This window comes from Homo sapiens, chromosome 7 (assembly GCF_000001405.40).
Source record: "Homo sapiens chromosome 7, GRCh38.p14 Primary Assembly".
Classification (NCBI taxonomy): domain Eukaryota; kingdom Metazoa; phylum Chordata; class Mammalia; order Primates; family Hominidae; genus Homo; species Homo sapiens.
Genome location: NC_000007.14, coordinates 38,451,526 through 38,473,340, shown reverse-complemented (window position 1 = coordinate 38,473,340; position 21,815 = coordinate 38,451,526). Strand labels below are relative to the sequence as shown.

The following is a 21,815-nucleotide window of genomic DNA, read 5'->3' as shown; positions in this document are numbered from 1 at the left end:
TCAACTAGTAGTTCTCCAGAGCTTATCATCATCTTCAACAGCTATTTAGTTCCAAACACAGGTTGTCATTTACATACAATTAAGACAGTTATACTTTTTATTTCCCCTGTAAAGGAATTTTTTATGATTTCTAATGTAATTGCTTAATCGCTTTTTAAACTGATCTTCAAAAAGTCTTGGGTACCACAGTGTTCAAGGCTTTCAATTATGAGATAATACCCCTGGGAAATTGCCAGTGCCAATTATGAAACTTTGGGGAAATTGCCAGAATTGCCAAGAGACAGATATTTATTATTTGCCTTAATATGTATTGGGTATATAACTAAGGTTTTTCTAGTGATCTCTACTACATCCAAAACTAGCATTGATGTTATTTCAGTCTTTTGTGCCCTTCCTAAGTTGTATTTGGTTATTCAAAGTAAAGTAATTGTTGGAGTGTCTCGTAGCGTGAAAGACTTTGTAGGGACTTAAAAACAAAGGGAATATCTGAGGGATAATTTTGGAAAGAAACCTTTCCCCTTTTCTGGTCATACGCAGTATAAATGTTTCAATGCTTTTGAAATCAATCTAATGTCTCACTCTGGCACTTAGGAAATAACATCAGTCAAAACTAGTTTTTCAATCCAGATCCTGCCTTTCGATCAAAACCTGACTTAGGCCTTCCTTTCTATGTAGCATATTTCTTAATGAAATCCAGATTACTCAACCATAATAATTGTGTGCATTGTGTATGCTGTATACCAAAGATCATTTTTTGGAATACTTTCTATTTGCTAGCTGTCATTTTATGTACTTTACATGTATAACCTCTAATCATTACAATTACAGATCTCTCCATTTCACAGATGAGAAGCTAAAGATCATATTAATTAAATACCTTACCTTAGGTTGTTAAGCTTGTAAATCCTAAAGGTAGCATTTAAAAACACTTTGGTGTTTTGTTTTGTTTTCATGTGAATCCTGCTGCTTTTATCTAGGGCCTCTCTTTATCTAAAATGAGATTGCATTTAGTCATAATTTTTCAAGTTATTCCATAAATACATATGTTCTTTAACAAGCCATATTACTCAACCTTGAAATTGAAATTAGTATTTTGTATCTTCTTTGCCTCCTATGAGGAAATGCATAATACTGGGTATGAAGTAATAAACATATTACATGTTAGTTATTAATGCATCAAACTATTTATAATCCTTCAGAATGTTGAGTGGAATGTTCTATATATGCCTGTGAGGTTCAGGTTGACTATATGTTGTTCAAGTTTTCTATTTCCTTACTATCTTCTGCCTTGTTGAAAGTGAGATATTGAAGTCTCCCACCATTATTGGGCTTATTTCTGTCTTCATTTCTGTCAGCTTTTGCTTAATGTATTTTAGGGCTCTTTTGTTAGGTGTATATATGTTTATAACTTGTATATCTTCTTGATGGATTGACTGTTTTTTCTTTATAAACTGTCCTTCTTTGTCTCTAATAATTTTGACTATTTTGTCTGATATTACTATAGCCATTCAAGCTCTCTTTTCATTACTCTTTGCATGGAATATTATTTTTTCCATTTTTAAACTTTCTACCTATCTTGAATTTAAATTGTGTCTCTTGTAGGCAGTATTTAGTTGGATCATTTGTGTGTGCACATGGTGTGTGTTTTATCCATTCTGCCAGCCTCTGCCTTTCGATTGCTGTGCTCAGTCCATTTACCTTTATATAGTTACCAAAATGTAGGCTTTTCTGTCTACTATTTTGGTAATTGCTTCGTGTGCCTTATGTCTTTTTTGTTTCTCTATTCCTCCATTACTGCCAAGTGTAGAAAACTTTCAAATTTTTGGATTTAAACTGATCTTCAAAGATTAGTAGTTCATGAGGGAGAAATGGAACTACTGCTTAGAGGGGGATGCAGGTTCAATTTTAAAAAAGGAAATACTAGAATATGATTGCAGGTTGTAAAGGAGCTTATAGATTATATAGATAGAGATGATAGAGTGGTATCACCAAGAAGGAAGGACTCTAAAGAGAATTCTTGAGGTAAATCTTGTAAAATAAGTAAAACCACCATTTAGTGAAAAGGATATTCTAGGCTGACATAGAGTATGAATAAAGGCCTGTGGGTTGAAGCAGATATCTGGGTTCATGGAACTTTAGTCTAATGTAACTCAGGGTCAGAGTGATAGTGTCTAGGAGGGGCTTGTGGTGATGAAGCAGGAGAAAGATAGGGATCAGATACATTTATCATGCATTCAACAAATATTTATTGACCACCTACTGTGTGTGAAGAACTCTGTTAGATGTTAAAGATTCTGTACTGAAAGTTTTTGTTTGCTTGGAGCTTATATTGAAGGACAGGGAAAGGCAGTTATCTTTAAAAGAAATGAAAAATAAGATATCAGACAATAAGTTCAATGCAGAAAAAATTTTAAAAAACGATAATTTAGTAGAGAGTGACATGAGATGGTGTAACTCAGACTATAGTTTGGATGTTTAGGGAAGTTGTCCCTCAAACAGATAGACAATATGTAAAGAAAAGGAAATTTTGGGAAGATTGAGTCTGGCTTATATATGTTGAGTTGAAGAATCATTAGGAAATTCAAAAAGATATGTCTATTAAGCTAAGTCTAAAGCTTGAAGAGAGGTTTGGGAGTCATTACCATATGGGTGGTAATGATGCCATGAGAGTTGATGAATTAGATGGTCGGATAGATCAAATGGCAAGATGAGGATCAAAGCAGAACCTTTGAGAGCACTAATATTTTATGGAATGTGCAAAAGAAGAGGGGACTGTGGAAAAGCCTTCCAAAAATTAATCAGAGATGTAGAAGGAGCCATGACAGAGGGATATCTCAAAAAGGCAAGAATGGAGAGAATTTTAAAAATGAGGAGTGCCAGGACTATCATTTACAATAGAGGTATCAAGCAGATGAGGACTAAAGAGGCATCACCTTTGGTAAACGTCCAGAGGGGTTTCAGTAGATGTTGGGATCAGAAGCTTGATTATAGGCATTGGAGACTCCATTGGAGATGAGGAAGCAGCAACAGTGTCTGTTATTTTGAGGATTCTAACTATGATGGGCCTGAGGAATTGTGGCAGCTGGTATAGGGAAATTAGAGGGCAAGGGGAGCTTTCTAAAAATAACTTTTGTCATTTTGAGAAGATGGCATAGTTGTGGTAAAGGTGGAATAATTTAGGACTGAAGATATGTGGGGCAAACAGGGGATCAGGACAAGGAGGAAGGGTGTTGATAGGACTGACCAGAGAGTGTTGAGGGGTATACCACAGGGCCCAAGCTTGATAAAGCAGGATGTTCAACCTGATCAAGGGTAGTGGCCTGGAAGAAAAGTGCATTGATCTCACAGAGGTTTTGAAAGAAGCAGGTGGAATGGAAATGAATGAATGAGGGAGCTCATGGCCCAGGAAATTAGGTTAGTGGGTGGGCCACTAATCTGCCCCATTTCAGAGGTGAAATAGTTGTGAGTCATGGCAAGATCCAAGATGTCAGAGGCCAATGCAGAATGTGTATAAATAGAATGCTGGGGTCCCTAGTTAGAGGGCTCATGTTTTGGCTGGATAGTCATAGGGTTGTTGAGATCTACTGTGTTAGTGTTAGGATTTGGTGAGGGAGAGAGGGGAAACCATGAGGCATGCCATTGTGGATTGTGGTTGGGGTTGAGGAGTCTTGCTGAGAGGTTGATATTAAGCTTTGAAGAGGTTTAATATGAGTGCCATTAATCCTGAAATGGAGTGTAAATGAGCTTAGAGGATCAGAAGAGAGCTAGGAAAAAACTCTTCCTCATACTCCATCTCCATAGTAAGTGAAGGACAGCAAGGGTTGCCTCCTCCACTGCAAGAGGGTCTGCAGGAAGCACTGACACTCCCCTCCAGGGAGGCAGATTTCCTTAGGGCATTGCGAAGGGGAGAGTGCTCAGGTCTGCAATCTGTAGCTGTGATAAGCTCAACTTAATTTTTCCTTTATTTCTGAGAACAAAGAAACATCTTAATAAAGAAATTAAGTTGGTTTTGACAGCTAATAAGAAGTGTCCTGAGGATGCCACATTTGGGGAAATGGTGATGTCTCAGAGTCCCTGTGCAAAATGAAACTTTTAAGCAGATAATATCAGAATCAAGAGCCTGGTATGCTGGTACTCTGTGTCTGTATGTTCTTTTTTTTTTTTTTTTTTTTTTTTTTTTTTTTTTTGAGGCGGAGTCTCGCTCTGTCGCCCAGGCTGGAGTGCAGTGGCGGGATCTCGGCTCACTGCAAGCTCCGCCTCCCGGGTTCACGCCATTCTCCTGCCTCAGCCTCCCGAGTAGCTGGGACTACAGGCGCCCGCCACTACGCCCGGCTAATTTTTTGTATTTTTAGTAGAGACGGGGTTTCACCGTTTTAGCCGGGATGGTCTCGATCTCCTGACCTCGTGATCCACCCGCCTCGGCCTCCCAAAGTGCTGGGATTACAGGCGTGAGCCACCGCGCCCGGCCGTCTGTATGTTCTACTGCTGGTTACATTAAGTTTTTACAAGCCAGGGTCACATCGGAATATGCTCTTATAGTGGAATGAGTGCCAAGTTTCTTCATTCACTGGCTTGTTTGTTCATTTATGGAATTTATTCATTTACTCATGCTTGCCGTGTACTAGGTGCTAGGGCTGTAATAGTGAACTAGTTAAAGGCATTCCCCTCTTTGCAGGATCTCTGACTTCATAAATTGGAGAAAATCACTATCAGTTGTATCAAAAATGTTGGACACTTTATCCTAATTAAATACATGCTAGTTAATTTCTAAATTAAAAAACAAAATATTAGAAATAGATGTTTAGTTATTCTAAATAAGATATTTCTGATACTATACCATTTTCTCAGGATAATAATTGATTTGACAACTTAAGATATGCTGTATATCAGAAAACAAAATTGAAATATAGAAGAATGGGACTTCTTTTTTGTTTTTGCCTAATGCATCCAAAGTTAAATATGTTTAATAGAAGTGCCATTACATATTGATAAGAAAAACAATACTAAGAAATAAAAAAATTTGAATAGGTGATTCACAAAAGAAGGAATACAAATGAGCAATAAATAAATGAATGAAAGTGTTAACTTTAATTGAAGAAATATAAACTTCAAAGTCAGTGAGATGCTAACTTTTGGCTATCATATTTATAAAGGTTGTATGTAAGGTAATGTAAGGGACTATAAGTGGCCCAGTCTAGTGCGACCAGTTGAGCAGTCTGACGGTGAACATCAGTGCTTATTTGGTTCACTCCTTTTACCAGCAAATACCTTCAAGAAATCTGTCCTAAGGAAATGAATAAGCTGTGTACAAAACCTTAATCATAGATATTCATTAGGGTTTTATTTACCATAGAAAAAAATTAATAAAAATAAAATAATACTCTCCAGTGAAGTTCAGCTTACACACCTCTTCCATCTGTACCCACCTTCTATTTAAATTGGACACTTCTTTCTGCAGCCCAAGTTTGTCCTCTTAAGCAGATGTTTGCAGCTGTCACAGGGCCCATTGCTCTCCTCTCTTCTCAGTTTCTCTGTTTCTGCCCATATCCACTCACTTTTGATATGTAATCATGTATGCCTTCTTGTTGTAACTTAACATTCCCATGTGGTTTTATAAGCTGCTTATTTCTAATATATATATATACACATATATATAAAATCTGCTTATTTCTCTTACACACACACACACACACACACACATATTTCCATTGTAAGTATAAATAGAGCAGCCCCTCTGGATGCTTCTCTAACTGGATTGTACGTTCCTAGAGACATGTTCACCTACCACTGTGCATGTACCCAGAGTTGGATAGGTCCTTTGTTGAGTAATTGAAGGAAGTAATTGAAGGAAGAAAAGTGTTAAGAATTACTGTCCCAGTTGATTGGGGCCTTGGAGAAGGGGTCATGAGTTGCCACTCAAAGTACCCCAGAAGACTTCTCTGCAAACACTGCGAGTGGGGTCCCTCTGCATAATGTATAGGTAGCCTGTAGGGTCTCTCCTTGCCTGTCAAGCTGCTGCCTTAATTAGCTTCCTCAAATACAGGTGCAAGTGTTCTCCTTTGCCCTATCTCAGACACATCTAGGGTTTGCCCACTGCCTGCCAATAAATATTGTGCTTCGTGGTCTGGCAAGGACCTCTGCCCCAGAGAACCATCTGCTTCCTCACTAGGCTTTCCTCTCCCAGGCTCTGGTCTGATCTTCCTGGGGGCTTACCATTTCCCAAACACACTGTGGAGGATTTTCTTTATTAATGAATAGATGTCTATATGCATGTGTATTTGTATGCATATGAATAGGTATATGCACATGTATTTATGAATAAGTATATGATCTTTTAAAATCAATTAAAAGAAAAATATATGAAGTCAGGGTCACATGATCACTGTAGGTATAGAAATTTAAGATTAAGTCAAATATGTTAGGGATTTAAGTAAAGATAAGCCATAGAAGAAGTTAATCTCATTGCTATTATGAAGGGGCAGCTTATGTTTTCATTTACTCAGTGATGACACGCTCTTATTTTTGATGAGCAGTTAGAATTAATTTACGGGTTTTGTATTTCCTTCTATGAAACAAATTTCAGAGTCCAAACACATAATAATAACTAGACCATTTATAGTTTATAAAAGTTAATAATGAACTTCTCAAATCTTGAAAGCAAGAAACAGTAACTAAAATATAAATAAGTTCTCAGGGCGGGGGTTCCATAAGCGTTGTCTCTGAATCAGCAGCATCAGTTATCACCTAGAAACTCATCAGAAATACAAATTCTCAGTCTTCATGTTCAGACCTACTAGATCAGAAACACACCCTTCAGGTGGTTCTCATGCACACTAAAGTTTGAGAATCACTGTCTTAAGGCACTGAATTTTAGGAGAGGTCATGCTCTATGCCAAAAGATACTTGTTTTTGTTCATTAACAGATGAGGAAATGTTGGGCTTGCTTTGGGTTCAGTATTTTATTTAGTCCAAAGTTATTCAAAATGGTGTAAAAGAAACCTGGGTTTTCATACATTTCATTGCTATTAAAATTATTTTTACTGACTGGTCTTTCCCTCTCTCTTCTTTCCTCTTTGTGTTTCCACATGGCAGACGAGTTGGATTTTATGTTAATACTTTCAAAAACGTCTCCAGCCTTGAAGCCAAGTTTCATAAGGAAATTGCGGTGGTGAGTCATGACGATAATTTTTGCATATGGAATATAAAGTAAAGGAAGGTTTATTTTGGAAGCAAATGAAATGGGATAGAATTATCCAAAGAATTCACCCTTTTGTATGTTTCTTTTAGCAGTGTGTTATTACCCTCGATAACATTTCTACGGTTTTTCATAGTGATCACATAGTTCTTTGTATCTTTTGAAGATTTTGCCACAGTTTTACAGTGTTGTTTCTTTTACCAGGCAGTTTATAAAGTTGGAATTCCCAGTGGTATTTTAGGCTAATGAAAAATTGCTCTCAAAGTATTTAGATAATCAACTCTGTTGTTGATTGCTTTTTGTTGTTGTTGTTCAAAAGGGTGGAGTCAATGTAAACAGTAAGCTTTTGTTTTCTGCCCTGTACTCTGGTTAATAAATATATACATATATATTTAGTTTACTCGTGTTTCGTTTGTTTCAGTTTTGACATAGATTTTAAATTTGAACCGTATACAGAATTTCAGTTATCCTGAGGCCATCCAAGCTATCATAAAATTTATAGCTTCTCAATAAGCAATTTCTTTCTTGGGGAGAATAGCCTGAATTGGCACCAGAATGACATGTGACTAATAGACAAGTGGCCTCTGTCCCCTTAGCTTTGCCACAAACTGTATGAAGTGATGACAAAACTGGGTGACCAGCACGCCGACAAGGCCTTCACCATCCAAGGAGCGCCCAGGTAGGCCCCTGCTCATTGGAGCACCTGTAATGTCCTGCTTGCTAAAATTTCTTCAATCTGTGGACCAGCCTGTACTATTTTATTTATCCTACAAAAGTCCCACAGGAGCCTTTTCACCCTAGAAGCTGACACTAATTTTATTTTTGTGCTTTTACATTTATGTCTGGCCTTCAGTGACCCAACTAGGATTCTTCTTCTTGTCACAACAGCATTGACTTTCTGCCTCTCTGCCTCTCTCTGCTTTCCATGAGGCCTGATAGCAACAGTGTGAAATTTTAATATATAATGTATATGCTTGTTGTAATATATAATTTGTTATGCACTTAATATTTTCTCCGGAGAAGAAAGGAATTCCCAAAGTTTATGACAGTTTGTCTTGATTGTTATCATTGATGCTGACGTCTTTCATGAATCCATTTTGGGAAAGGAAAGAGGAAGTAGGTGAGATCTCATCTTCCTCTTACCTCCTGACTCTTGATCTGGTGAACACTGTGCTGTTTTTGTTTTATTGCACGTTGCATTATGAGTATGCCAGTCAAATACCCCGGAGCCCCAATGATCCATAGGTGACCTGTCTACCTTGCCAGGGTTCGGCTGCACACCAGCTTTCTCCAGTGATTCTGGAATCCTTTTTATTCCATCCTTCGTAGACTTTACGTACTCAGAGATTGAAGGCTAGTGAGCTGGGAGTCAGAAGACCCAGCTTTCGGTTTTCTGATTTTGCAGTTAACTTGCTTTGCCTTCCTTGAGTAAGTTCAAAACCTCTCTGGTTAGAGGTCTCATTTTTTTTAATTCAATAGAAAAAAAAAGATACTATTGAACTACATGGTTTCCAAGGTAATATACAGTCCTGACATTCTATATTTGCCATTTTAATACAAACACTTATTTGCATACATTTATGAAAACACACATAGTCATACACATGAACCAACTTCTACATATGTTAATGTTTGGATCCCTCTAGAGATTGTTAATTTTCTTATTCCCTGCTCTTTGGATTAGCCCTACTTATAGGTTCTGCTATGGTTTCTATACTATGTAAGCAGTAGTATATCTTCTCTTTCTAAGGGAAAGAATATTGCCTGAAAGAATACATAAGAGAGGCAGAGTTACTGTTTTCAGTATGGTTATTTCAGTATGGGGCTAGGCACGAAGGAAGAATTGGAATGGGAATATCAGAATGATATTTGAGTGTTTTAAAAATGAAGTGCATGAAAAAATTTAGGGTTGTTCCCTTACATGGAAATGAAAGGGACAAATTCATCTGAAAATTGTAATGTTGCCAAATGAGATACAGTGAAGAAAAAGCGGGGCCATGACCACTTAATGAATGTTCCTTTCACTTTTTTTCAACATTCCTCTGCAGAATGAGGTGGTGAGTGAGCTCAGTGGCATCTCTATTAAGCTTAGATTGGGGCTATGTTTCCATCTGAGGCCATGATTGCTGGCATATGACCCCAATCATGTGGCATGTCTGTGTTCTCGCTAAAGGACCCAGTTTCCTCAGCCCTTTGAATATGTAGACCATGCTGCTGTGTACATGCTCTTTTATTTTGGGGTACAGACTCTGTTTCTTCGAGCTGTAGACTTTAGAAATTCTTAGAGAGTAGGATGTGTCCTGAGTGCTTCTTAGTCATCACATTTGGGCTGTTCCCGAGCGTCTGGCCGCATGCCAGGAACATGGTGGGTTCTTAGTAAACGAAACTGAATCTTGTCTGATTTTGTTGCACATTTCAAGATGCCTGAGTTGAGTAGTTATTTATAAGGTCTAGAAAGAGAAATAATTAGTGAGTTTATTTCCAAATGTTATTAGAAAGCACTTCTACAAAATCCTTACTAACACTATCCTAAGGTTACCTTTTAATATAAAAGTTACAATTTTCATAGTTTTTTATAGATTGTGACATGGCAAGATTCTCTTGTAAATAGAAAGTGAAACGAGTAAAATCAATTCAGCTTATGTTTGGAAGATTCTTGCAGAACTTGTTTGAAAGAACAGAGGGCTTGCATTACTAAGACCTGAATTCAGATTCACTAAATGGCTGGGTGATTTTAGAGTTTTTATTTTTAACCTATCTATGCCCCACTTTACTACTTGTAAAGTGGGGACAATAAAACATGGCTACTGTGAAGACAAAAGATAATACATGAATGAGGTCTCTGTAGTGCAAATAAATGGTACCAGTTATCACCATCACTGTTGCAATTAACCAGAATTAACCTGGAAGGGGAGAGCAGGACAACAGACAGTACCTGTTAGGCTTCTGGGTTTCTCTGAAATGGAAAACCCCTGATTAGATGAATACTGTTCTTGAGAAGGCCCCTTGCCCAATCCCCTGTGTTCCTCTAGTGATTCGGGTCCTCTCCGCATTGCAAAGACACCATCACCGCCTGAGGAGCCTTCACCCCTCCCGAGCCCGACAGCAAGTCCAAATCATACATTAGCACCTGCGTCTCCCGCACCAGCACGGCCTCGGTCACCTTCACAGGTAGGAAGAGGTCAAATATATTGGGGGATAGAGCTCATGATGAGATGAAGGTGGCCCCATCTAGGATAATCCCACGGTGCCGGGGCTTTAAGAGAAGTTTCCAGTTAGGGAGACTGAGATGTGAGGCTTTAGGCATTGTGATTGTCATGAAGGTATCCACCTGCTTTTCTTATTTGACTTGATATTTCCTCACATGCCCTATATTCAAGTTTTTTGGGACTTCTTACCACGTTCTCGGCATGCTCAGGCGAGCATGCTCTCTCTTCTCCTATCTCTTGCTACAAAACTCTTTTCTTTCAATGCTCCATTTAAATCCTACCTCTGCATGAAACCTTCCCTCTCCTAGTGGTTTAGAGTTGGCAGGTACTGCCAAGAAAAGCGGTTATGTTTATATGTCATCTCACATTTTTTGGTACACCTGGACATTTTTTAGTACACACACTTGCATATGAGTGGCCACTTAATAAAATTGAATTGAAGAAATAATTGAAGAGAAACAATAAGGGCTGGGCAAAGGTAACTGTAGAGAGAAACTACCACCTTTATTCTCCCTATGTTGGGTGAAAATGAAATTTCTGTAGAAAAATTTATAGTCCCCAGTCCAGTTCAAGCTTTCTTGTACAGATGCTGCTTGCCTTACAAAGGGGTTGTGTCCTGATAAACCCATCGTAAGTAGAAAATATTGCAAGTTAAAATGCATTAAATACACCTAACCTGTTGAGCATCATGACTTAGCCCAGCCTACCTTAAACGCGCCGAGAACGCTTAACATTAGCCTACAGTTAGACAAAGTTATGTAACACAAAGCCTATTTTATAACCGTGTTGAATATCTTGTGTAATTTACTGACTATAGTACACTGTAGAACATAATAGCAGTCATTTACCCTCGTGATCACAGGGCTAACTGGGAAGTGTGGTTCACTGCCACTGCCCCGCCTCATGAGAGAGTGTTTTCACACATTCTGCTGAATGCCTATTGCTTTTACACTTTCCTAAAGTCCAAAAAAATCATAGATTGAACCATCATAAGTTGAGGACCATCTATATGTAGTTGAACTAAGGAAAGTCTTGGGAAGATACATGCATTAAACAGACCTTTAAAGTTTTCTACTTTTCAAAATCCTTGAATGGAAAGTGAAATGTAAGCTGCCTATAGTAGGTCTCACCAATTCAAATGAAAAGCTGCTTTAGTTTTGAAATTTTAATTTATTTCCAAAATGAGAAATTATTTTCAGTTTAGTTCAGAAGAGGGTATTGCCCTAGTTTAACCTTTAAAGTATATGTGCCTGGCCCTACAGCTCTGTGTATTGTACTTGAGTTGAGATGAATGGACTCTTATAGCCTCAGTTTTGTTTTTGCCTTGAACCATGGCTTATCAGGGCTCAGAGAGCCTCACAAGTAGACAGCATTCTTTACCTGTATCAGATAGGCTTGCTGCTATATGCAGATACAAGTTTCAATCAGAGCTCAATCTGTCCATGTAGCTCTGTTCATGTGACCTTTCTTCGTGTCTGACACATTGTCTTTGGCTGGATTAATGTTTGTATTTAATGCTTCCTAGACAAGGAAAGGGCCTCCTGTCCCACCTCTACCTAAAGTCACCCCGACAAAGGAACTGCAGCAGGAGAACATCATCAGTTTCTTTGAGGACAACTTTGTTCCAGAAATCAGTGTGACAACACCTTCCCAGGTAAGTGCCTGGTTCAGGGCTGGTATGTCCATGAAAGTCCCATGGTGGAAGGACTCTCAGGGGCTAGCCCTAAAGAAAGTGGCGGTTCCAGAACCAACAACATAATTTTAATTGTCATTCAGGCTTGTTTTAATTACTTGGTTAGTCTGAAGCATTCTTACATGGGAGATGTACGGTATTTGAAAATTATCTTTTTTTTAATTAAGGGTAGTATATACTTATAGAAAATTGGAAAAATATTGAAAAGTGTAAAATGAATAATTTATCTTATTTTTAAAAATTGTTTTATTGATACCAAATATTTTACATATTTATGGGACACATGTATTTGTTATATGCATAGGATGTGGAATGATCGAGTTAGGGTATTTGGGGTATCTATCACCTTGAGCATTTATCATTTCTATGCATTGGTAACATTTCAAGTCGTCTCTTCTAGCTACTTTGAAATACCTAATACAGTGTTGCTGACTACAGTCACCCTAATCTGCTATTGAATATTGGGGCTTATTTGTTCAATCTAACTGTATGTTTGCATCCACTAACCAACCTCTCTTTATCTCCTCCTTCCACCCACACATCCTTCTCAGCCTCTGGTATCTATTATTCTATCCTCTATCTCCATGAGATCGATTGTTTCTAAGCTCCCATATATTATTAATTTGTGGCATCTGTCTTTTCTGTGCCTGGCTTATTTCACTTAACATAATGACCTCCAGCTCCATCCATGTTATTGCAAACAACATTATTTCATTCTTTTTTGATTCAGTAGTGTGTGTGTGTCTATACCATTGTGTGTCTATACCACATTTTCTATATCCATTTGCCCATCAATGGACACTTAGGTTGATTCTCTATCTTTACTGTTATCAATAGTGCTGTGATAACCATGCAAGTGCAGGTATTCCTTTGATATACACATTTCTTTTCTTTTGGATAAGTACCCAATAATGGGATTGCTGGATCTTATGGTAGTTCTATTTTTAGTTTTTTTGAGGAATCTCCCTACTGTTTTCTGTACTAGTTGCACCAATTCTATTCCCACCAACACTGTATAAGAGTTCCTTTTTCTCCATATCCTTGCCAGCATCTATTATGTTTTGTTCTTTTAATAATAGCCATTCTAACTGGGGTACGATGACATCTCAATTTGGTTTTGATTTGGATTTCTCTGATACTTAGTGATGCTAAGCATGTTTTTATATATCTGTTGGCCATTTGTATGTTTTCTTTTGAGAAATGTCTATTTATGTCCTTAGCCCACTTTTTCATGGGATTATTTGTTTTTTTAATTATTGAGTTGAGTTCCTTGTACATTCTGAATATTATTCCCTTGTTGAATGTCTGTCTGTAAATATTTTCTCCCATTCAACAGGTTGTCTTTTCACCCTATTTATTGTTTCCTTTGTGTGCAGATGCCATTTAGTTTAATATAGCCTCATTTTTTCTATTATTATTATAGTTATCTGTGCTTTTGAGGTCTTACCCATGCAATTTTCCTTAAACTGATGTCTTGAGGTGTTTCCCTATGTCCTTTTCTAGTTGTTTTATAGTTTTGGGTCTTATGTCTAAGCCTTTAATTCATCTTAAGTTGATTTTTATATATCAGGAGAGACAGGGATCCAGTTTTATTTTTCTGCATATAGATATCCAATTTTCCCAGCACTATTTATTGAAGGTGTCCTTTCCCCAGTATATGTTCTTGATACCTTTACTGAAAATGAGTTGGCTGTCAAAATGTGGATTTATTACTGGGCTTTGTATTTTGTTCCATTGGTCTACGTGTCTATTTTTATACCAATGTCATGCTGTTTTGGTTACTATAGACTTGTAATATGTTTAGAAGTCAGGTAATGTGATGCCTCCAGCTTTGTTCTTGTAGCTCAGAATTGCTTTGGCTATTTTGGCTCTTTTTTTGGTTTCATACAAATTTTATGATTTTTTCTAATTCTGCTGAAAATGTTGTTGGTATTTTGGTAGGCGTTGCATTGTATCTGTAGATTGCTTTGGGCATTATGGTTATTTTTACAATATTAATTTTTCTGATCCTTGTCCTTTTAATTTTCTTTCATCAGTATTTTGTAGTTTTCCTCATACAGATCTTTCACTTCCTTGGCTAAATTTCTTCCTAGGTATTTTATTTTGTTGTAGCTGTTGTAAATGGTATTGCCATATTGATTTCTTTCCCTTCTGGCTCTTTATTGGTGTACAGAAATGCTACCGATTTTTGTATGTTGATTTTTTTTACATATCCTGCAACTTTACTGAACTTATTTATCAAATTTAGGAGGTTTTTTTTGGGTGGATTCTTTCATTTTTTCTAGCTATAAGGTCATACTATCAGCAAAGAGGAACAATTTGGCTTCTTCTTATCCAATTTGAATGCCTTTTATTTCTTTATCTTGCCTGATTGCTCTGGCTAGGACTTCCAGTGCTATATTGAATGGGAGAGGTGAAAGTGGGCATCCTTATCTTGTTCCTTATCTTGTTCATAGAAGAAAGGCTTTCAGCTTTTCTCCCATTCACTATGATGCTACCTGTGCTTTTGTCATATATGGCCTTTGTTATTTTGAGGTCAGTTCCTTCTATTTCCTAGTTGGTTGAGAGTTTTCATCATGAAGCAGTGTTGAATTTTATCAAATGCTTTTTCTCAATCTATTGAGATAATCATGTAGATTTGTGCTTAATTCTGTTGATGTGATATATTAGGTTTATTGTTTTGCATAAGTTAAACTATCCTTAGATCCCTGATATAAATCCCACTTGGTCGTGGTGTGTCATCTGTTTGATGTGCTGTTGGATTTGGTTTGCTAGTATTTTGTTAAGGATTTTTGCATTTATGTTTATCATGAATATTTGCTTATAGTTTTCTTTTTGTTGTTGGTGTTTTTGTTTGGTTTTGGTATTAAGATAGTGCTGGCCTTGTAGAATGAGTTAGGGAGAGTTCTTTCCTCTTCAGTTTTTTGGAATAGTTTCAGGAGGACTGGTATTGATAGGGTTGGGCTGTGAATTCAACTAATTCTAGGCTTCTGTTTGTTGGGAGACTTCTTTATTTTTATTTTATTATAGATTCAGGGGATACATGTGGAGTTTTGTAACATGGAGATATTGCGTGATGCTGAGGTTTGAGCTTCTAATGATCTCATCACCCAGATAGTGAACATAGTCCCTAGTAGGTAGTATTTTACCTTTGCCCACCTCCCTCCATCCCTCCGCAATCTTTTTGTGAGACCAAACACACAAATGAGGAAGAGGAATGACTCAAGTGGTACTACTGCAGTATACTACCAAACCATGGTGACATATATGTCATTGTATGACATATATATGTGACATATATACACACACACATACAAAATGACCAGAAAACAATTAACATTATGACAGTCACAAAACTTCACATATTAGTAATAGCCTTGAAAGAAAACAGATTAAATTAAAAGATAAACTGACTAAATAAACAGATGCTTTTCTCTTGCTGTTCTTAGGATTCTGTCTTTTATTTTTGCCTTAGTACATAGTCTGACTGTAATATAGCATTGAGAAGACCTTTTTGCATTGTATCTGTTTAAGGATATTTGGGCTTCTTATATCTGGATGGCTAGGTCTCTTGCTAGACTTGGGATGTTTTCAACCTAATACTTCATTAAATAGATTTTCTAGCCCATTTGTTCTCTCTTGGCCCTCAAGGACACGAATAATTCAAATATTTCATTGCATTATATTGTCCCAAATATCAGGAAGGCTTTGTCCATTCTTTTTTATTTATTTTTGTCTCACTGGGTTATTTCAAAGACCTGTCTTAAAGTTCTGAGATGCTTTCATCTGTTTGATCTAGCCTCTGGTTGAAACTTCCAAATGTGTTTTGTATTTCAGTCAACAAATTCTTCAGTTCCAGAATTTCTATTTGTTTCTTTTAAAAAATATCTCTTTGGTAAATTTTTCATTCATATCCTAAAATGTTTTTCTGATTTCTTTGTTTTTCAAAATTTTCTTGTATCTCACTGAGCTTCTTTAAAAGCAATATTTTGAATTCTTTATCTTGTTTCTTTGGAAGTGTCATATTTCCTTGCTGTTTTATGATTCTGTTTCATTGTGTTGATATCTGTGCATCTGGTATAACTTCCAATTTCCAATCTGGTTGCTTCTTCCAATTCTTTGAAATTGGTTTTTGTAGGGGAGGGCTTTTCTCTGAAGATGTATATATGTTGTTGGTTGGGTCGGACATTTTGGCTTTGATTTTGGCCACATGTAGTAGTGTGATCTTTGTATAATTTATTTGGCTGTAAATAGTGTCAGTTGTACTTGTGATTTCCTCAATGACTTAGGGTGCATTTGCTAGCAGGGGGCCAGGGTAAAGTTTTGCTGAGGACAAGGATGCCAGGTTGACCAGTCTTTGGGCCCCAGTGGAGGCAGTGGTAGACTGAGCATTGCTTGTGCTTGGCTCCAATGTGGGTTACACTAGCTCCAGTGTTAGTGAGTCCAGACAGGCTGATTCTTGGGCTCCAGGTGGCTTGCTCAGATATTGGTAGTGGCAGCAGTAGGTTGAGTGTGTGGTCAGGTTCTCAAATCTCTGGGCAGCTGCTGTGATGTGGGTGATGTCAGTAGCGGTGGTGGAGTAACCCACGGGAACCCAAGTGGTCCACTCTGGTGTTGGTGATAGCTATGACAGGTGGGGTGTGCCAGTCCCTTGGCCTGCTGCTGGTGCATTCTGGTGGGTGCCACCTGTGGTAGCTTTGGCAGGTTGGGCTGGCCCAATCTCAGACCCAGGAGGAATATTCAGGTGCCAACAGTGGTAGACTGGGCTGGGAGATTTCCAGGCCCCTGAACAGCATGCTGAAGCACTGGGGTGACAAGATTGATCCAATAGCTTGTCCTGAGGTCAAGCTACATTGACACTGGTTGTGACATGCTGGGTAGGGTGGTTTCCAGCCTGCTGACAAAATGTTCAGGTGTAGGAGGCACCACACTGCCCTGCGGACCTGCTATTAGGGAGGTCAAAGCCTCTCATGGTGGGAGCAGTGTAGGGAGGTAGCTGTGGGACACGTAGTTTCCTTGTGCCTTGGTCCCGCTGCAACCTGCAGCAGCAGCAGTGGGATTTGTCCACAAAGTGTCTGCAAGTGCCTGGCTTCCCCTCTCCCTCTTTGGCCTGGTGGTAGCAGCAGTAGCATCAGCCTTGGCCCCAGGGAGGGATGCAGACCTTTGGAAGCTAGGCTTTCAGAATGGCACCCACTGCAACTGGGGAAGGTGGGGGCCCCTCTAAGGTGGTGTAGTATAGGCAGGTAGCTGTGGGTCTGTGGGGAGTGCAGTTTTCTCATTTCTTGGTTCCACAGCAGCCCTCAGAGGTGCATAGGATTTCTCCTAGCAGTACATGAAAGTGCGAGGCCTCTCCTCTCCCTTCTTGGCCTGGCCATGACAGTGGCAGTATCTGCCCCAGAGCAGAATGCAGTCCTTTTGGGGGCTTAGCTCAGAATGCCTACAAGCTGCAGCCACTCAGGACATGGTTGCCTATGGGGCTCCTTGTGAGTTCTCTCTCTGGAACAATGTCTCTGTGTGGTCCCTAGGCAGCTACCCATGTAAATCTTGAAGCCCATATCAGTTGAGGGGTTCTCCCATAGCTAGGGTTGTAAAAAGATGGTGGTGGGTATGTGGAGTCCTGGGAATTCTCACTTATCTTTTCCTCACATCTGGGAGCTTCTCCTGGATCCCAGCTGAGGAAAGCCTTGCTGCCCTCTCCTTGCTTGCTTTCAGTGCTTCCCATCACTTCTCTGTTGAATCCCAGTGTTCTCTCTTAGGTGATCTATTCACAGTGTGAACATCTACTTGCTATTTTGCTTCCGCTCTGTGGAAGAAGCATGTACTAGTTTTCTTTAGTCGGCCATCTTGAGAATCTCCCAGAATAAAGAATTGTAGGCTGGGCGCAGTGGCTCACACCTGTAATCCCAGCATTTTGGGAGGCCAAGGCGGGCAGATCACCTGAAGTCAGGAGTTCGAGACAAGTCTGACCAACAAGGGGAAACCCTGTCGCTACTAAAAATACAAAAATTAGCCGGGCATGGTGGTGCATGCCTGTAATCCCAGCTACTCGGAAGGCTGAGGCAGGAGGAGGTGGGAGGCGGAGGTTGCGGTGAACCAAGATTGTGCCGTTGCACTCCAGCCTGGGCAACGAGAGCAAAACTCCATCTCAGGAAAAAAAAAAAAGAATTTTAATAATCACTTAAATCATACCACTCTGACATGACCACTAGTGCCCTTTGGTCTGTCTTCTTTTAGTCTTCCCAAATCACTGAGTATATATCAATTTTGCACTATAAAATTGAGACTGTACTATCATGTATTTCTGACCTTTCTACTTAATTTTATTGAGCATATTTTCATGTCATAATATTGTGTTTGCAAAAACATATTTGCCCATAGTATTCTCTCAGTTGGTTGTACCAACCCCTGATTATTGGCCACAAGTTGCTTCCAACTTTTTTGTTGCTTCACCAGCACTTCGATAAACATCTCTTTATATATTATTTCATGTTTATGTCTTCTATTGATTCTTAGTAGAGATAGGAAATGAAATTGAAAGAGGTGAATAATTTTAAGTCTTTTGTCCTTCAACAGGGGCATATTATTTACATGAATTGGCAAATGAAAGTCAGTGTTCCTACTGATTTTGAATATACCTGGGTTCACATATCCCACCGCAGCTACTTGCAGGCCTGTTCCTGCTAGTGGCTGTTTTTTGTGTTTTTTTTTTTAATTGACTCAAGAATTATCATGACTTCCAGAGCTGCCTCTAGTGTCACTGAAACTATCTCTTTTTTCTACAAGTAAAAGACCATACAGAAGTCATGGTGATACTATTTCTTCTCAGTGTTCTCAGGGTCTGGAATAATATTTACATTTTACAAGAGGTGCTAATGCAGTACTATAATTACTGAGTACATCAATCACTACACTATGCGTAATATGCCGATTATAATCACATCATATTAATAATAGCAGAGATGGTGTATTGATAATAATAGGGACCTCAGAAAATAAAAACTCAGACACAATGCAGTGGCAAATCATGATTTTTCATTCTTTTCAAGCACACTTATCAATAGGCAAAATGCTTTGAGCTATTGTTTTCTTTCTTCTGTTGTATGCATAAGATGCTGAGTTTGATAAAATTAACTGGGGCTTGAGATGTGATTTAGCAGCTCCTTTGAGAATGGTGTTTATCGGTGCATGGCCAGATTGTATGTCTGTGGATACCGAGATGCCGCCAGGGATAGCTGTCTTAGTGCCAAAGGATCTTACCCAGCATCTCCCAGTTGTCCTGGGACAAACTTGAGCAATTCTAATTTCCAAAGTTGTACAGTCCCTTTGCATTTGCTACTGCCCAGCTTCATTCTCTTTGTTCGCTACATGAATTTTCGAACTGGGAGTGTTTTAAGGCAACAATACCCTTACTCAGTTGCTTTGACCTGGACCCTCCAAGAGCATCCTCTCAGTTCCATCACAAATAGAGACTTTGGTCACCTAGAAGCCTTGTGTGCTTAGCTGAGGACATCCCCATTTGGTAGACAAGGCAACTGAAGTAGAGACAACATGACATGCAGACTCATTGTGAAGTAAAGATGAGGTTCAGAAGTGTTCTTTCTTTTTAAATGTTTTTTCTTTGTATTTGTAATTTGCTGGCTCATAGGTAAGGACACTTGATGGTGGGGGGAAAAAGGATCAAAGCACTTTTGAAAATTACAGATGCCAGGAGAGTCCCCTAAGTACTTAAAAGAGCATTCGCTTTTGCTGGTACTGTTGAGTGAGAGTGATGGGAAAAGTTAAGAACTGGGGCAGAGGAAGTGCCTTTCCAAACAGAAGCATGTTCCAGCTGCAGCTCCTGTGAGGACACTATTCCCGGGTCTGCTTGCCTAGGCTTTGCTAGTGCTTTATGCATAACCCCAAGGCTGCTGGGAAAGGAATGTGGGAGCTTTCAGTGTCTCTCCATCAATACCTCTTATATCTCACTGGCTGTGTGTCACATCCTTCAGTCTTCCAGGCAATTTTGGAAGAACTAAGCACCAGAGACATTATAGGAGTGCATTTTCGGGGGCACAGCCTTATTTATATTGTTTTCTTCTAATCTGGGGAGGAGTCAGAAAGGGGTTTCTGCCATTTTTCTAAATCTGAAAAGCGACATGGCTCTAGCAGCTGGACCACAGAGTATGACTTGGAGTGTTTCCATGGATTAAATGACCATTTGTCTCATGTCAAGATGTCAAAAGCGGGAGTGAAACAGGGATTTATATTTCTGTCTGCTTTCTGGTTTATTGAGTGACATAATCTGGCTTTAATTAAAAATATACAGATGCTGTCTCTCCCTGAAGCATCTTGGCAGTTTCTTCAGTGGCTTGTTCCTCTGTAGCTATAAATAGCCATTTTATGTTACTTCAGCCCATCCAGCAGTTTCTGATTTGGCAGGTCTGGGATGAGGTCAGGAATCTGCATTTCTGAGGAAAATGCTGCTAATGCTGCTGGTGTTGGCACCACACTGTGGGAGCCACTGTTTAAAGTTATCAGGATTCCACATGGCACTAATCAGTGACCATTAACAAAGCACCACAGTGAATTAATAGATTTATTCCAGAGAAATACCCAGCTGAGTCAAGTGTGTGCTATGACTGACCATTCATAACTGCTCCCTTCAAAACTAGTGTGACTCAAAGTCTTCCATATTTAGGGTAGTTGGACACATACACATACACATGAGTGCTTATAACCTTAGATGTGTTGATCAGATTATAGGTCGAGCTACGTATTATAAGTGAATGAACTGTATCATCCAGACAATAATGTATTTGATAATCTACAGATAAATAGATAAAAGAGAATAAATAACAATACCTGGGAAAAATGAGATGCTAACTGCAAGGAAGTACAGCATTGAAAACTAGACAGCTTTGATGTACCTGAAAAGGTTTTCTCTGACACATATAGCAATATAGGATGATCCGTCTACATTTATTTTAATTTTTTTAAATGAGTCATTTACATTTAGAAGATTGATCTATGTCCCCAGCTTGCTATTTTTATCATGCACTTAATGGGGGAAGAAAAGCATTTGTGTTATTCCTGCCCAGAAGCTCAAAATGTAATGACTGAAATGTACCCAGTCTCAGATGGATTTGTTTGTCTCCTCCACCAAGCACCATCACGGTGATGATTCTCTCCTGAGTGTGTCCTGGGATTGAAGACAGAAATCCATTAGATCTGGAGAGCCCTCTAATGGCCCAAACTTTAAATGTAGCATAGAATTTTTTCTGGTAAATGTTCTTATCTGCTTGTAGGGAGATGCCCCGTGGTTATGACCCAATGGTTTACTTGCTTTTCTGGTTTTGTGTTTACAAAAACAGATCTTCCAAAGGTCCAAAAAATTGTTCCCTATTTTTCCATCCTAAGAACTTAGAAATCCATTCTCTCTCTTTTTCTTTCCCTTCCTCTTTGTGTGTTTGTGTCCCTACATTATTCTTTTAAAACAGCATTTTCCAAAGCATGTTTATGAGGAAAACTAGTATCATTAGATGCTTTGAAAAGGGAGTCTCTGTTTACATGAGACTGAGGGGCTACATCCCTTTTGATTTTTCACAGTTTACATCGGCATGTTTAAGGCTCTGAAAAGTTCTGTAACAAAGTTCCATTCAACTTTGTTTAGGGAAGAATTTCTCAGTCTCTCCTTCACCCCCAAAATATGCTTTCCTAGGAAATGGGTGTTTGGTAAAAC

The 21,815-nt window shown here is 38.8% G+C and overlaps 1 protein-coding gene across 8 annotated transcripts in view, besides 9 other annotated features; it reads left to right on the top strand.

The window, feature by feature from the left end:
* AMPH (amphiphysin) overlaps window positions 1-21,815 on the top strand; it is a 247,670-nt gene that overhangs the window by 158,033 nt on the left and 67,822 nt on the right. For all 8 annotated transcript variants that reach the window (XM_006715690.5, XM_011515271.4, XM_017011996.3 and 5 more), the window contains exons 8-11: window positions 7,093-7,168; window positions 7,792-7,874; window positions 10,228-10,366; window positions 11,930-12,058. In XM_006715690.5, the coding sequence (XP_006715753.1) occupies window positions 7,093-7,168; window positions 7,792-7,874; window positions 10,228-10,366; window positions 11,930-12,058 (427 nt within the window). The remainder of the gene's footprint in view (window positions 1-7,092; window positions 7,169-7,791; window positions 7,875-10,227; window positions 10,367-11,929; window positions 12,059-21,815) is intronic.
* Window positions 1,450-1,619: an enhancer, noted in NCBI's record as "experimental_98581 CRE fragment used in MPRA reporter constructs". NCBI's record gives its function as "activates a minimal promoter by MPRAs in K562 erythroleukemia cells, with activity observed for both the introgressed and non-introgressed 7:38511407 variant alleles {active_cell/tissue: K562}" and the evidence as "EXISTENCE:reporter gene assay evidence [ECO:0000049][PMID:34662402]".
* Window positions 6,727-6,896: an enhancer, noted in NCBI's record as "experimental_98575/98576 CRE fragment used in MPRA reporter constructs". NCBI's record gives its function as "activates a minimal promoter by MPRAs in K562 erythroleukemia cells, with activity observed for both the introgressed and non-introgressed 7:38506130 variant alleles {active_cell/tissue: K562}" and the evidence as "EXISTENCE:reporter gene assay evidence [ECO:0000049][PMID:34662402]".
* Window positions 8,400-8,569: an enhancer, noted in NCBI's record as "experimental_98573 CRE fragment used in MPRA reporter constructs". NCBI's record gives its function as "activates a minimal promoter by MPRAs in K562 erythroleukemia cells, with activity observed for both the introgressed and non-introgressed 7:38504457 variant alleles {active_cell/tissue: K562}" and the evidence as "EXISTENCE:reporter gene assay evidence [ECO:0000049][PMID:34662402]".
* Window positions 9,592-9,671: an enhancer, noted in NCBI's record as "active region_25873". NCBI's record gives its function as "activates an Ori minimal core promoter by ATAC-STARR-seq in GM12878 lymphoblastoid cells {active_cell/tissue: GM12878}" and the evidence as "EXISTENCE:reporter gene assay evidence [ECO:0000049][PMID:35858748]".
* Window positions 13,763-13,932: an enhancer, noted in NCBI's record as "experimental_98569 CRE fragment used in MPRA reporter constructs". NCBI's record gives its function as "activates a minimal promoter by MPRAs in K562 erythroleukemia cells, with activity observed for both the introgressed and non-introgressed 7:38499094 variant alleles {active_cell/tissue: K562}" and the evidence as "EXISTENCE:reporter gene assay evidence [ECO:0000049][PMID:34662402]".
* Window positions 16,601-16,770: an enhancer, noted in NCBI's record as "experimental_98567 CRE fragment used in MPRA reporter constructs". NCBI's record gives its function as "activates a minimal promoter by MPRAs in K562 erythroleukemia cells, with activity observed for both the introgressed and non-introgressed 7:38496256 variant alleles {active_cell/tissue: K562}" and the evidence as "EXISTENCE:reporter gene assay evidence [ECO:0000049][PMID:34662402]".
* Window positions 18,898-19,067: an enhancer, noted in NCBI's record as "experimental_98558 CRE fragment used in MPRA reporter constructs". NCBI's record gives its function as "activates a minimal promoter by MPRAs in K562 erythroleukemia cells, with activity observed for both the introgressed and non-introgressed 7:38493959 variant alleles {active_cell/tissue: K562}" and the evidence as "EXISTENCE:reporter gene assay evidence [ECO:0000049][PMID:34662402]".
* Window positions 19,784-19,953: an enhancer, noted in NCBI's record as "experimental_98556 CRE fragment used in MPRA reporter constructs". NCBI's record gives its function as "activates a minimal promoter by MPRAs in K562 erythroleukemia cells, with activity observed for the introgressed 7:38493073 or rs74932767 variant allele {active_cell/tissue: K562}" and the evidence as "EXISTENCE:reporter gene assay evidence [ECO:0000049][PMID:34662402]".
* Window position 19,868: a transcriptional cis regulatory region, noted in NCBI's record as "Neanderthal adaptively introgressed variant 7:38493073 (GRCh37/hg19 assembly coordinates) or rs74932767 in the experimental_98556 CRE". NCBI's record gives its function as "modulates activity of the experimental_98556 enhancer by MPRAs in K562 erythroleukemia cells {active_cell/tissue: K562}" and the evidence as "EXISTENCE:reporter gene assay evidence [ECO:0000049][PMID:34662402]".